At 42.7% G+C, this 15474-nt stretch overlaps 1 protein-coding gene across 2 annotated transcripts in view, besides 2 other annotated features; it reads left to right on the top strand.

The window, feature by feature from the left end:
- The window catches only part of TEKT1 (tektin 1), a 33737-nt gene extending 26661 nt beyond the window's left edge, over positions 1-7076 (top strand). Inside the window, exons 7-8 of one of the 2 annotated variants that reach the window (NM_053285.2) lie at positions 4126-4322; positions 4835-7076. In NM_053285.2, the coding sequence (NP_444515.1) occupies positions 4126-4322; positions 4835-5042 (405 nt within the window). In that variant the 3' untranslated portion in view covers positions 5043-7076. The remainder of the gene's footprint in view (positions 1-4125; positions 4323-4834) is intronic. The other variant, XM_011524027.4, reaches the window with a different exon arrangement.
- Positions 8757-8901: an enhancer, noted in NCBI's record as "145 bp enhancer 34 fragment used in the MPRA reporter construct; PK_construct_3226". NCBI's record gives its function as "activates an SV40 promoter by MPRA in HepG2 cells {active_cell/tissue: HepG2}" and the evidence as "EXISTENCE:reporter gene assay evidence [ECO:0000049][PMID:23512712]".
- Positions 8821-8838: a transcriptional cis regulatory region, noted in NCBI's record as "GATA motif; enhancer activity is reduced when this motif is scrambled; it is unclear which activator is functional in HepG2 cells". NCBI's record gives its function as "necessary for full MPRA enhancer 34 activity {active_cell/tissue: HepG2}" and the evidence as "EXISTENCE:site-directed mutagenesis evidence [ECO:0005528][PMID:23512712]".

The raw sequence follows: 15474 nt of genomic DNA, 5'->3' as shown, positions 1-15474 counted from the left end.
TTCTACCAGAGGTACAAGGAGGAGCTGGTATCATTCCTTCTGAAACTATTCCAATCAATAGAAAAAGATGGAATCCTCCCTAACTCATTTTATGAGGCCAGCACCATCCTGATACCAAAGCCAGGCAGAGACACAACAAAAAAAGAGAGAATTTTAGACCAATATCCCTGATGAACATTGATGCAAAAATCCTCAATAAAATACTGGCAAACTGAATCCAGCAGCACATCAAAAAGCTTATCCACCATGATCAAGTGGGCTTCATCCCTGGGATGCAAGGCTGGTTCAACATATGCAAATCAATAAACATAATCCAGCATATAAACAGAACCAATGACAAAAACCATATGATTATCTCAATAGATGCAGAAAAGGCCTTTGACAAAATTCAACAACGCTTCATGCTAAAAACTCTCAATAAATTAGGTATTGATGGGACATATCTCAAAATAATAAGAGCTATCTATAAGAAACCCACAGCCAATATCATACTGAATGGGCAAACACTGGAAACATTCCCTTTGAAAACTGGCACAAGACAGGGATGCCCTCTCTCACCACTCCTATTCAACATAATGTTGGAAGTTCTGGCCAGGGCAATTAGGCAGGAGAAGGAAATAAAGGGTATTCAATTAGGAAAAGAGGAAGTCAAATTGTCCCTGTTTGCAGATGACATGATTGTATATCTAGAAAACCCCATTGTCTCAGCCCAAAATCTCCTTAAGCTGATAAGCAACTTCAGCAAAGTCTCAGGATACAAAATCAATGTGCAAAAATCACAAGCATTCGTATACACCAATAACAGACAAACAGAGAGCCAAATCATGAGTGAACTCCCATTCACAATTGCTTCAAAGAGAATAAAATACCTAGGAATCCAATTTACAAGGGATGTGAAGGACCTCTTCAAGGAGAACTACAAACCACTGCTCAATGAAATAAAAGAGGATACAAACAAATGGAAGAACATTCCATGCTCATGGGTAGGAAGAATCAATATTATGAAAATGGCCATACTGCCCAAGGTAATTTATAGATTCAATGCCATCCCCATCAAGCTACCAATGACTTTCTTCACTGAATTGGAAAAAACTACTTTAAAGTCCATATGGAACCAAAAAAGGGCTGGCATTGCCAAGTCAATCCTAAGCCAAAAGAACAAAGCTGGAGGCATCACGCTACCTGACTTCAAACTATACTACAAGGCTCCAGTAACCAAAACAGCATGGTACTTGTACCAAAACAGAGATGTAGACCAATGGAACAGAACAGAGCCCTCAGAAATACTGCCGCATATCTACAACCATCTGATCTTTGACAAACCTGACAAAAACAAGAAATGGGGAAAGGATTCCCTATTTAATAAATGGTGCTGGGAAAACTGGCTAGCCATATGTAGAAAGCTGAAACTGGATCCCTTCCTTACACCTTATACAAAAATCAATTCAAAGTGGATTAAAGACTTACATGTTAGACCTAAAACCATAAAAACCCTAGAAGAAAACCTAGGCAATACCATTCAGGACATAGGCATGGGCAAGGACTTCATGTCTAAAACACCAAAAGCAATGGCAACAAAAGACAAAATTGACAAATGGGATCTAATTAAACTAAAGAGCTTCTGCACAGCAAAAGAAACTACCATCAGAGTAAACAGGCAACCTGCAGAATGGAAGAAAATTTTTGCAGTCTACTCATCTGACAAAGGGCTAATATCCAGAATCTAGAATGAACTCCAACAAATTTACAAGAAAAAAACAAACAACCCCATTAAAAAGTGGGCAAAGGATATGAACAGACACTTCTCAAAAGAAGATATTTATGCAGCCAAAAGACACACGAAAAAATGCTCGTCATCACTGGCCATCAGAGAAATGCAAATCAAAACCACAGTGAGAGACCATCTCACACCAGTTAGAATGGCGATCATTAAAAAGTCAGGAAACAACAGGTGCTGGAGAGGATGTGGAGAAATAGGAACACTTTTACACTGTTGGTGGGACTGTAAACTAGTTCAACCATTGTGGAAGTCAGTGTGGCGATTCCTCAGGGATCTAGAACTAGAAATACCATTTGACCCAGCCATCCCATTACTGGGTATATACCCAAAGGATTATAAATAATGCTGCTATAAGGACACATGCACACGTATGTTTATTGTGGCACTATTCACAATAGCAAAGACTTGGAACCAACCCAAATGTCCAACAACGATAGAATGGATTAAGAAAATGTGGCACATATACACCATGGAATACTATGCAGCCATTGCAGGGACATGGATGAAGTTCTAAACCATCATTCTCAGCAAACTATCGCAAAGACAAAAAACCAAACACCGCATGTTCTCACTCATAGGTGGGAACTGAACAATGAGAACACATGGACACAGGAAGGGGAACATCACACACCAGGGCCTGTTGTGGGGTTGGGGGAGGGGGGAGGGATAGCATTAGGAGATATAACTAATGCTAAATGATGAGTTAATGGGTGCAGCACACCAACATGGCACATGTATACATATGTAACAAACCTGCACGTTGTGCACATGTACCCTAAAACTTAAAGTATAATAAAAAAATAAAAAAATAAAATTCACCTTAAAAAAATAAATAAATAAAATTCCAGGCCAAAAAAAAAAGATAATTCAAATATTTTAAAAAGTTATGTATCAAATTTATAAATGCTGCTTTAAATAAATATTCAAAGGACTTTAAGTAAGTTTGAAGTAGGAGCAATTATTAGTCGAAAGCAGCTTAAAGTAATTGCTAATATCTGCTAAATTTAAAAATAGTATATCTGTGAACCGGACTTATGAAAACCTTAAGAAGTGTTTAAATAGAAGCTTAAGAAAGCCAAGTGCAATTTCTGGACCTCATTGGGATGTAATTTGGACAAACCAACTCTACCAAAATATATGGAACAATTGGTGAAATGTGATCACTAAATATTATTATAATGTTAAAGAATAAGTCTTTTGTCTCTTTTTTGGTGTGATAAAGGTATTGTGGTTTTGTCAAAAGAAAATAAAGAATCCTATGCTTAGAAATACACACTCAAATATTTAAGTGAAATATTTAACTAAAAGGACATAATATCTGGGATTAGTTTTAAAATAACTAAGCTGATGGACAGGAGTATAGATGAAGCAAGACTGGCCACATACTGCTCATTGCTGAAACTGCTGATGACTATGCGAGGTTCCTTAGTCTATCTACTTTTGTGTATATTGCAAAAGTAGATGTACAAGTTTTAAAAAAAATGCTTAATGAAGAAATATATTTTAAACCAGTTAAATATTAATTTTGTTAAAACCAAGTAACTTAAAAGTAGTCTTTTTCTTTTCTTTTCTTTTTTTTCTGAGGCGGAGTCTCACTCTGTCCCCCAAGCTGGAGTGCAGTGGCACGATCTTGGCTCACTGCAACCTCCGCCTCCTGGGTTCAAGCAATTCTCCTGCCTCAGCCTCCTGAGTATCTGGGATTACAGGTGTGTGCCACAACACCCGGCTAATTTTTGTATTTTTAGTAGAGTTGGGGGTTTCACCGTGTTGGCAGGCTGGTCTCGAACTCCTAACCTCGTGATCTTCCCTCCTCAGCCTCCCAAAGTGCTGTGATTACAGCTGTGAGCCACCACATCTGGCCTAAAAGTAGTCTTTTTCTGTGCATAAAGTCACTCACAAAAATAACAACCAAACTCAGACCCAACTGCTCCTTCTTTCCTCAGGCTTCCAGAGGACAGAGCTGGTGCTAGCAGGATAGGAGTGGTGAGGAAATAGGCAGCTTTCTGCTCATGATACAAAGGTACCCTGTACCAAGGTGAGCAGGCAGCTTTGAGCAGTAGTGAGATCCCCACTCTGGCCAGGCCTTTGCTGAGGGCATCTCCTGTGGGTAGATGAGGTGACAATGGCCCGTCCTGTCCCTTGAGTCCATAAGGTTTTAAGTCTTATGTGACCTTGCCCACCAGCAATCACTGCTTTAGGGAAGAGAGATCAGACTCTGGCATGCTGCTTAAGAAGAAATCTGAGGTTCCCTCTTCCTAACTTACATGATCACAACCCATCTGCTGTCAGCTGTTGAGTTTTGAGGAGCACAGCTTGGCCTCACCTACTCTAATCCTTTTTGTAAGGTCATGGAAGAGATTGCTTCCCAGGAGAAAAATATTACAGCTCTTGAAAAGGCCATCCTTGACCAAGAAGGGCCAGCCAAGGTGGCTCATACGCGCTTGGAGACCAGGACACACCGGCCGAACGTGGAGCTGTGTCGTGATGTCGCACAATATAGGCTAATGAAGGAGGTTCAAGAGATCACCCACAATGTCGCAAGGTAGGCTAGCAGCCAGTGGGCAGAGGGCCTTCGGGTCTCAATCCCAACCTGGATATCAAGCAGAGGCTAGATAGTGACCAGCAGCGTGAATGAAGCCAGCCTGCTCTGGAATGCTTGAGGAATGCCCCCTAGAGGGAAGTCTCCACCACCTCCCGCCAAAATTGTTGCCTTGGAGAAAATGGATCCCAATATTGAGTGATTCTAAAGAAGCCCAAATCCAGATGTTTAGGTCAAATCTGCAGTTTTAAACATCAGCATTTCATAAGGTGTCTACGTCATGAATCTGGCCTGTGGCCGCCAAATTGAAATCTCTGTCTTTTTCTTTTTTTCATGGCCTTTTCAGTATGCATTTTATTCTAAAATTAGTGAGATCTCTGTCTTCATGAGGAGAGAGGAAGGGGAAGAGCACATATCAATTTGGCTCCTGCACTGAACACTGGGGAACATTCTTTCCCTTGAAAAAGCAATGCATAGAGAGAAATTATTCTCTTCTCTTCTTCCCTTTCTCCTAGATTGAAGGAAACTTTAGCCCAAGCTCAGGCAGAGCTGAAAGGGCTGCATCGCAGACAGCTTGCCCTGCAGGAGGAGATCCAGGTCAAAGAGAACACCATTTATATCGACGAAGTGCTGTGTATGCAGATGAGGAAATCCATCCCACTTCGGGATGGGGAAGACCATGGGGTCTGGGCTGGGGGCCTCCGCCCTGATGCTGTCTGCTAATAGTAGGGCTAGTTCCAATTCTCATTAAACCACATTGTAAACAGTAGTTACAGTAGTACAGAGCTCTCATTTCAGGCTGGCGGGGCCTCTAGCCAGCCTGCTGCAACCTCTTGGCTGGCATTCCAAGCCTGCTCAGGGGGCTGATTTTGGGGCGAGTTTCTTCTCTTATGCTGGTGTGGTGTTTGCCTAACAATTCAACTCCATATTTTAGCACAGGCCACTCTTACAATATCACAGGACTTGGGGCCCCAGGACAGGGTTTCAAGACATTTCAGTTCAGATTCAATTCAATAAAGTAGTTGGGCTGGATCACCTGTGTAGACCATGCCCCTCTTGCTCATGAGATGGGATGCTAACCTTTCTCTTGGCTCTCAAAATTTCTTTTCTCTAGAAAATAATGTGTTTTTTTTCTCTTAAATACTCAAATAACATAAAGAAAAAGAACAAAATTCCATTCATTCAAGTCAATGGGTTCAAGTCAATGGTTAAGACTGTAGGTTCCGGAGTCTGCCATCTGAGTATAGGACCTCCAATAGTCCCCACTCACAGGGCTATAGGGGCGTTGAATGAGATCACCTCCGTAAAGGGCTTCATACTGAGCCTGTATCATGGGGCAGTGAGTGTTTAATGAATGTGAGCCATTGTGAGCAGTCCCACCCTATACCAACATAATTTCTGCACAATTGTACTCATGGCATAAACTCAATTTCAGGATTATTTTTTTCCTTCACTGCTAATTATTGCAAGCCTTTGTTCATGTTGCTAAATTGTCTTTATAATTATTTTAATGGTTACGTACCTCTTTACAAGTTTTCAGCAAGACTGTTTTATATACTTACTGTTTCTTTTCCAAAAAGAGTTCAACTTGTGGGAGGCTGCCTTCCGCTGAGCTGCAGCAGGTCAGAGATCTATGTGGGTGACTGTCAAAGGAAGACATTTGCTGTGGGAAACTGCTCATTTGTTCCTTATTCCGCTAACATTGAAGGAACACTTTCCATGGACGAGGCTTACCATCTCAGCACCCTCCCATGTGTGAAGCTGCTGCTACACTCTGCTAACATTTGGTTCCCCGGTGCTCATGGACAGCTGACGGTGTGGGGCTCAGGAGACCTAGCTTCTAGTTGCAACACTGCCAGGAAAGTTTCTCTCCTTCTTTAGGACCACCTGTAAAGTAAGGAAAGGACTATATCGTCTGGAACTCTTCCTGTCCTTGCTGTTCCCTGAATCTGGCTGTCTAGCTGCACATACGGTGTCATAGGGCACAATGATAATGCAGAGTGTGGGCCTAATTCCTGGGAGCTTTGCAATCTAGGTGCTCCTTGGTCCAGAGACTCTTTGCCATCAGAAAGGGATGTTCCCAATCTGGGATGGAGAAACCCCCTTTGAGGCCAAAAGCACTGGCTTAATTCTGTTAATTCTGATCTATGCCACCCCAGTGCTGAACGTCTCCTCTCAGAGTGCTCAGCAAATACACAGCCCTTCCCATGCCTCAATCAAGGAGGGAGGCCCCTCTCTGCTCACTGGGAAGCCTCTGGGTGCTTTTCTGCTCTGGCTCGGAAGAGTCCAAATAAGCCTTCCCAGCTCACTGGGCAGACCTCAGAGTTTCTGCTAACTTAGCAGGGTTTTGAGGTCTGTCCCAGAGGATGTGGCTGGCAGGGTGTGAAGACACTGGGCAAAATCCTTCCTTGTGAATACAGCTCTCAGAGGCAGCCAGCCTCAGTGGTGGATTCAGATCCCAGGCTCTGCAGGGAGATGTGATTCAGATCAGCTGGTGGATCAGCTCCACGCTCTACCTGTGATGTGATCCCCGCCAAGTTACTCAACTTCCCCGAGCTTCAGTTGCCTAATCTGTAAATAAGACTAATAAAGCCTAGATTGGCGAGATAACGTGTGGAAGACTCTCAACACAGTGTCTGGAACATGCTGCTTTTAAGGGAAATGTGATTTTGATTATGGTTGAGGCCATTTCTCAACATGTAGACATAAAATGCGGAAACATCTAAGATTTCAATAAAGCAATGTTTTGTTAGTAAATCTGCTCATGCAATTCCTAGGTCTTATTGGGTATCAATGTGTTTCACAAATGAAATCTGGTCTTAGCCTGTGTTTCATGAAGGACATTTGCAATTAGCCCACGGTTGCAAAAGCCTTTGTAGCTACTGATGAAGGCCACCCTGTTCCGTACCCCTCTGACCCATCCAAGCCAGATATCTTTTTAAGACAAAGTACAATTTTTGTCTTAGATAACACAAAATTTATTTTTAAATACCATCACTTAAATTGGGAGTCATTTAAACTTGAATTTTCTTAACATAGAACCAAAGTTGAACGTGTCTGTAATCCACATAATTAAAAGAAACACAGGAGCAAAGTTTCTGTCTCTTCCGTGGTTCATTTGGCAGTGATGAGTGGGAATTCTCTCGGGTAGCACAGGATTTGGCACACTGGGAAAATCTCCGGAAGGTTGTTTTTCTCCCAGAGTACCCAATCTAGGTACTTCTCTATTCTGTGGATTCTGTTGCCTGCCACTCACCCTAACCCAGAGAGTCCATGTCTTGTCATCTTTGCCCTCCACCACCACTCTAGCATGCTCTGGGGGTGCCAGGCTTGGGAGTGACAAGGTCAGAGCCACCCTCCCAGGGGAGCAGGATCATATTTGGGTAACAGTAATGAGTAATGGCATTAGAACCCACATTTGGTTCCCGTTCAGTCTGGGCTCCATTTAAACGTAGTTTCTCATTCATTCATGCCCAGCCCTGATTCTTTCATGAGTCAATTTTTCTGTGGCTTATGTAGGTATGACACAACCTCAGGCCATCCCAGATAATTGACTGATGGGCAACAATAGTGATGACCTGTCACACTTGGCTGTGATCCACAGTTCATAAAGTGACTTCTTGTATATTTTCTCATCAAATCTTTACAAAAACCTGAAGAGGCTGGTATGATTACTAGCTCCATTTTATAGATGGGATGCTGGCCTTTATGTCAGACACACCAAGGTTCAAATCCTGGCTCACTCTTCCTCTTACTGTGTGACCTAGGGTAAGTTGCTTAGCCTCTCTGTGCCTCTGTTCTGTTATCTCAGAGTCATGAGGCCTACACTGTCCTTGTGATCCACATAGCCCTTTTCTGGTGTAGCACTTTGCCATCCCAGGCTCCGGGATAGAGGAGGCTAGTGAGATTTTTGTGGTTTCCAATAAATATTCTTACAGCCTACTGTTGACAAGTGCAGATACCCAAAGCTACAAAACTAACAAGAAATTAATAGGAACACTGATGCTGGATTCTGAGCTCCCTATCATAAGGAATAAAGTACCTGATCACGAGTCAAGCTGGTATCTCTCTCCCCCGGGCAAAAGAGAGACCTATCCTTGCAGCTGCTTAGACCTGCTGGCTAATCCATTGGTCTCTTGCGCAAACAGTCCTCTACTGGCGGGGGAGAGGAAGGAAAGGGGGAGTGGATGAAAAACACGAGGAATGGAGGGCTCCACCTCAGACACTAGTGTTGCAAAGGACACACACCAGGGCAGGGCTGGTGGCCATACAGTCAACAGTCTCTTGTAGTTAATTTATTTTTACAGGGCATATGTAGTATTGAGGCAAACCAAGTCTGACTTACAGAAAATAGCCCAAGGAAGGAAAATAGGGAGCTGGAAAGAAGAAAGTCTTTCAACTCTGCTTAATTAAGTGAAGAACTGGCTCCCACGATCTCACTTTAAGTCCATTGACTACAATTCTAGCTTCCAAAGGTCACTCTGCTACTGGGATCTAGTTTCTGTGACCACCTGATAAGGATGAGCTAACCTTTAACTGAGACCAGATCTGAAGTAAATTAAGTAAACATTCTTTGTTAATCACTGGCACTTGTGTTTTTCACAATGAGCTAACAGTGTTTAAGATCTGGCTTAAAGGCAACAATCTCCACTCTTGCAAAAGAGGCTCCACATTTTCCAGGCTTTGATGAGAACTTCGACATAAACGTCAAACACAGTTCCTGCATCCGAACCGATTCTGAGGCCTTGTAAAACCTGCCAAAATAATAGTTCCAGATACATCCATAAATCAATGAAAACCATATTTAACAGAAAGAGAATAACCTTATTTAGGAGAATCATCATATACAGTCTACCTAACGCCACTGCTAAAATATTGGAAATGAACTTGGTCCATAAGAAAGGTACTTGGAGGCCTGGTGTGGTGGCTCATGCCTGTAATCCCAGCACTTTGGGAGCCCACGATGGGTGGATCACCAAGGTCAGGAATTCGAGACCAGCCTGGCCAACATGGTGAAACACCATCTCTACTAAAAAAAAAAATACAAAAATTATCCGGGTGTGGTGGTGGGTGCCTGTAATCCCAGCTACTTGGGAGGCTGAGACAGGAGAATCGCTTGAACCCAGGAGGCAGAGGTTTCAGTGAGCTGAGATCATACCACTGCATTCCAGCCTGGGCAACAAAGAGCAAACCTCCATCTCAAAAAAAAAAAAAAAAAAAAAAAAAAGAAAGAAAGAAAGAAAGAAAGGCACTCGGTCACAATCAATTGTTCTATTTGCTGCTACCTGAAGAAGACTAATATGTTTAATTCAGAAGACAATTTTCCAAGTCTTTTTTCCTCTACGTAAAATTTTTCTCAGCTAATTCTCCAAAGTTAGTGGTGCGATTTTTTTATCCCTCCCAGTTGTTAATTTTATAATTGGAGAACCCCTTATATCACTGGTCCTTCTTGTGTGAAGATCTGGCACACGGAGTCAGCTGGGCTTTAAACTTGGGGGCTTCCACACCCTGGGAAAATGCCAACATCAGTCACTGTCTCAAACACCACCAGAAAATACTCCTGAGAGATCATCAGTTGAAAAAATGAATCTTAGAAAAAGTTTTAAATCCCACATGCAATTTCTCAGGCAAGTAAACAGTTCATTCTTGCGTGGTGGCATTAACGGTGTCAATGTTAAATGAAAGCCAGTTAGAAACCGTAGGGTGTTATGGAACAATTAGGTACCTTAATCCACTGAAACAAATGAGGAAAGTATAAACAGTCAAGTTTCTAGCTTATTGGTTCCTAAGATTCCTAATAGCCAGTGGGAGTGGAGAGGAAAGATTCCTCAGAGTGGACCCAGATCCTAGACTTATACTCCTAAGAGCATGAAAAGTAAATCTGCATCCTCGTTCTCACCAAGTCAATGGCAAGTGGCCACTGGTCCAAATACCACAGCAATGGCTTGATTCATTCTTTTCCCTGGATCATCCCCTGAAAACAGATTAATGTTCAAAATTACAGAACAGCTTAGACATTTAGGTGTGATGTTAGCATTTGGTCACATATTTGCTTGGGCTGTTTCTGCCATAGGTAATCAACCCAATGGTATTAGAACCCCACTTTGGTTCCCGTGCAGTCTGGGCTCCATTTAAATGTAGTTTCTCGTTCATTCATGCCCAGCCCTGATTCTTTCATGAGTCTATTTTTCTGTGGCTTATGTAGGTATGACACAACCTCAGGCTATCCCAGATAATTGACTGATGGGCGACAATAGTGATGACGTGTCACACTCAGCTGTGATCCACAGTTCATAAAGTGACTTCTCGTATATTTTCTCATCAAATCTTTACAAAAACCTGAAGAGGCTGGTATGATTACTAGCCCCATTTTATAGATGGGATGCTGGCCTTTATGTCAGATACACGAGGGTTCAAATCCTGGCTCACTCTTCCTCTTACTGTGTGACCTAAGGTAAGTTGCTTAGCCTCTCTGTGCCTCTGTTCTGTTATCTCAGAGTCATGAGGCCTACACTGTCCTTGTGATCCACATAGCCCTTTTCTGGTGTAGCACTTTGCCATCCCAGGCCCTGGGATAGAGGAGGCTAGTGAGATTCTTGGGGTTTCCAATTGACCAATGCATGTCAGGGAAATTTCTTCCTCTTAGCAAGTGTAGATACATCCCAAGGGCACCTTTCTAGGCAGGGGTTTCTACGTATCAGATCAGCAGGTAACTGCCTAATTTAAGACTGAAGTTTTTGAAAGATCATTGTCAAGTTCCAAATCACCATTTCCTAGAAAGGCTGAGTCAGCGTCTTGCCAGGATACCACCTCTGCAACAGCAGAGAGTGTGGGGCAGTGAAAGGAGAGGGTGAGATTCAAATTCCTGCTCTGCACAAAGTGGCTGTGAGGCTTCAGGGAAGTTATTTATCTGATCTTCCTTTTCTTGGTCTGTAAATCAGATGAAGAACATTCTTCTTGCCAGGATGTTGTGAAGATAAAATGAGTTATGGTATGTACAGTGCCTGATGTAGTGGGTTCCCATTAAATGGTACCCAGTTTCTTCTTAAATGAGTTAGTTTCCAATATTTTGAGAACTAACTCTTTGAACTAAGAGTAAATATTGAAAAGTAGTACCAGGGCTTTAAAAAGTCCAAATTTGTCCAGGCACGGTGGCTCATGCCTGCAATCTCAGCACTTTGGGAGGCTGAGGTGGGTGGACCACCTGATGTCAGGAGTTTGAGACCAGCCTGGACAACATGGTGAAACCCCGTTTCTGCTAAAATTACAAAAATTAGCCAGGCGTGGTGGTGGCTCCTGTAATCCCAGCTACTCGCTAGGCTGAAGCAAGAGAATCACTTGAACCCAGGAGGCAGAGGTTGCAGTGAGCTGAGATCACGCCACTGCGTTCTAGCAGAGTGAAACTGTCTCAAAAAAAGAAAAAAATAAAAATAAAAAGTACAAATTACCTTTCTCCCTCTTTCTTTCTTTTTCTTTCTCTTTCTTTCCTTTCTTTCTTTCTTTCTTTTTCTTTCCTTCCTTTCTTCTTTCTTTCTTTCTTTCTCTCTCTCTTTCTTTCTTTTTCTTCTTTCTTTCCCTCCCTCCCTTCCTTCCTTCTTCTTTTTCTTTCTTTCTTTCTTTCTTTCTTTCTTTCTTTCTTTCTTTCTCTCTCTCTCTCTCTCTCTTTCTTTCTTTCTTTCTTTCTTTCTCTTTCCTTTCTTTCTTTCTTTTTCTTTCTCTTTTGACAGAATCTTGCTCTGTCACCCAATCTGGAGTTCAGAAGCATGATCAGGACTCACTGCAGGCTCGACCTCCCCAGGCTCAGGTGATCCTCCTTCCTCAGCCTCCTGAGTAGCTGGGACCACAGAAAAGTACAAATTTCAAAATAATATATCCCACATTTATTGAGCACCTATCATGTAGCAGGTGTAGTGGGGAGGGAGGTGAAGCGACAATAACCATGATAGCTGTGAGAACAGCCTTGGGGATCAGGAACAACTTCCTGGAAGAGGAGCCGCCTAAACTGAGACAGGAAGGATGACAATGAGCCTGTCTGAAACAGCCATTACCAATTGGTGAGCACCTGCTATGGAACATGAGCAGAAATTCAGTAGCTGAGGAAAAAGGTAGGAAGGACATTCCAGGAAGATGGGAAGGAAGAAACCGATGCTTGAAAGAGCAGGGTGCTTTTAGGCAAGTGTAGATGGGGCTGAGGGCTGGAGGCTGGGCAGAGATTGGACCTGGAGGCCTGAAGGCAATGTAGGAGGCCCAGCAATCCAGGTAGACATAAGAGAGACTGAGTTAAGACATGAATATAGAAATAGTGAAGAAGGGACAGAGTCCAGAAACGTCTAGGGGCTAAGTGGCTTGGAGACTGATTTGTTATACAGGGTGAGGGACAGGGAGGGATCTAGGGTGGCTCCCAGGTTTCTGCCTTGAGTAGCAGGGTGAGTGGAATGCTGAGAGGGAATGTAGGAGAAGGAGGGCTTCTAAAATGAGGGTGAAGGCCGGGCATGGTGGCTCACACCTGTAATCCTAGCACTTTGGGAGGCTGAAGTGGATGGATCACTTGAGATCAGTTCGAGACCAGCCTGGCTAACATGGTGAAACCCCATCTCTACTAAAAATACAAAAATTAGCCGGACATGGTGGCGGGTGCCTTGATCTCAGCTACTCAGGAGGCTGAGGCAAGAGAATCGCTTGAAGCTGGGAGGTAGAGGTTGCAGTGAGCTGAGATAGTGCCACTGCACTCCAGCCTGGGCAATAGAGCAAGACTCTTGTCTTAAAAAATAATAATAAAATAAAATAAGGGTGAGGGTGGGAGAGCTAAGGAGGCAAGCTCTCTCGCTAATTATGAGGAGCCCGTGGGTGGAGAGAGGTCTGGCTATAGCAAGAGGGCTGGGAGACATCTGCAGACAGGTGGTGGTAGAAGCCATGGAGGGGCTGAGCCCTGAGAAGCACCAACACTCTCAGGTTGAGCGAGACATCCCAGGGGCTGGAGGAAGCCAGGACAGCATGGCTGTCACGGGTGCCACTTTTTAAGGCACTGGGTCAGCAGGTCGAAGGCTCCAGAAAGTCAGCTAAGAAAGGAAAAGCATCCTGTAGATTTGGCAATTAGGCAGCCCCCAATGACACTTTGCCAAAAGCAATTCCAAAAGAGTATTGGAGGAAGAAGTCAAGAAGTGTAGAGGCTTATTTTTGTTTTACCTATTGTTTATTTGTAGTAGAGATGGGGTCTCGCTCTGTTGCTCAGGCTGGAGTGCAGTGGTGTGACAGAGGCTTAAAGATGCTAATCTTTTCATATCCTTCACCCACTTTTTGGTGGGGTTGTTTGTTTTTTTCTTGTAAATTTGTTTGAGTTCTTTGTAGATTCTGGATATTAGTCCTTTGTCAGATGAGTAGATTGCAAAAATTTTCTCCCGTTCTGTAGGTTGCCTATTCACTCTGATGGTAGTTTCTTTTGCTGTGCAGAAGCTCTTTAGTTTAATTAGATCCCATTTGTCAATTTTGGCTTTTGTTGCCATTGCTTTTGGTGTTTTAGACATGAAGTCCTTGCCCATGCCTATGTCCTGAATGGTATTGCCTAGGTTTTCTTCTAGGGTTTTTATGGTTTTAGGTCTAACATTTAAGTCTTTAATCCATCCTAAATGATGAGTTAATGGGTGCAGCACACCAACATGGCACATGTATACATATGTAACAAACCTGCACATTGTGCACATGTACCCTAGAACTTAAAGTATAATAAAAAAAATGACCAGATGATTGATGCAGAAAAAAAAAGATGCTTATCTTTGGCTGGACTTTGAAAAGAAATTGACTAACCTCTGCTGTCTTCTGGTACATACATTGCCTCAAGGGCTGAGAAAAGCTGATAGGACAGAGAAGAAATAGTGAAACATCTCCCTGTTTACTACATGCAAACCTACAGTCACCATTATAAGATGCCAGGTTGGCTTCTTTCAATTTGGCCTACAGCCCTAAAAAATAAGTGTGTCTTGAAGACACAAACCTTAAAGCTGTGAATGGAGACTTTGAAAAGTATCTAGTTGAGCCCAGAAATGGAAGTAGCAGAATGCTATTGACCTAGTTGTACCCCAAACACTGAAGTCTCATTAATACCTAAAAAGCCTGAGCCAGCTTTTTCTTTCTGTGTTTACCTTCATACCAATTACATAATAAAGTCATTATGGAGCACAGCGTAGCTTGGTTTGAGGCTTGTGTGAGCTGTGGCTGTCAGCCCCGGCATATATTCCTTAAAATCCTTAAAGAAGACAAGTGATTTATAAAATACTTCCCATTGCCTGCCATATATCATAAATGGCATTTAAAAGGACAATTTCAGTTAGGTTCACAAACTCTTTATTGGAGGGAGTTAGCATTTCTCAAATTTGTTGGGATGGTTACAATTAAGGAAAGGATAGCTTTCTGTTGCCATGGAGATTAATGTGTCAGTAACAAGCCATACTGACGGGTGCCTGTTGCTCAAGCTGGCACAGACCCTTGTTCCCTCATCATCTCTGGATACCATGGGAAATCTTCAGTATTTTGGAGTCCTTGAGGTCTGTTTGTGAATAAATGCTACCTGTGAGTGCCATGTGGTGGATGGTGAGTCTATAACAGCTGCAAATCCTTTGTCTGACAATGTCACCAACACTTCTCACTTCTGAAAACCTCAGCTAAGCAAAAATATGGGCACAGCACACAAGAGGCAAGACAAACAAAATCTGAAATGTCACTTGTTAAAAGTGTTCTGAGATTTTGTTAATTTATATCTATTGAAAAACAGAACTCTATGCCACTGCATGCACAAAACCCCCAAAGGACCAGAAGTAATACAATGTCTATGGCATGGGCTCAGGAATTTATTATTATCATCGATCCTCTCTTCCAACCATGCTCTTCACTTAATAGAATTACGGTACAACAGACCCCAAATCCTCTTGCTGTGGGGATAATACGTAGGAATTAAGAGCAGAGCTCTGGAATTAGATTGGGTTTGACACTCACTTCCAGAACTTCCTAAATGTGTGACCAGGGCAGGTTAGACTTGCCAATCCTTCAGGATCCCTGTAAAAGAGGGATAATAGTAGTCTCTGCTTTCTAGAGCTGTGTGAGGATTAAATGAAACTAGGTGAATTTATGTCTAGCATGTAAACACTCAACCAGTGATCAC

Source organism: Homo sapiens, chromosome 17 (genome assembly GCF_000001405.40).
Source record: "Homo sapiens chromosome 17, GRCh38.p14 Primary Assembly".
In the NCBI taxonomy this organism is placed as follows: Eukaryota; Metazoa; Chordata; class Mammalia; order Primates; family Hominidae; genus Homo; species Homo sapiens.
This window is presented reverse-complemented; position numbering and strand designations above follow the sequence as displayed.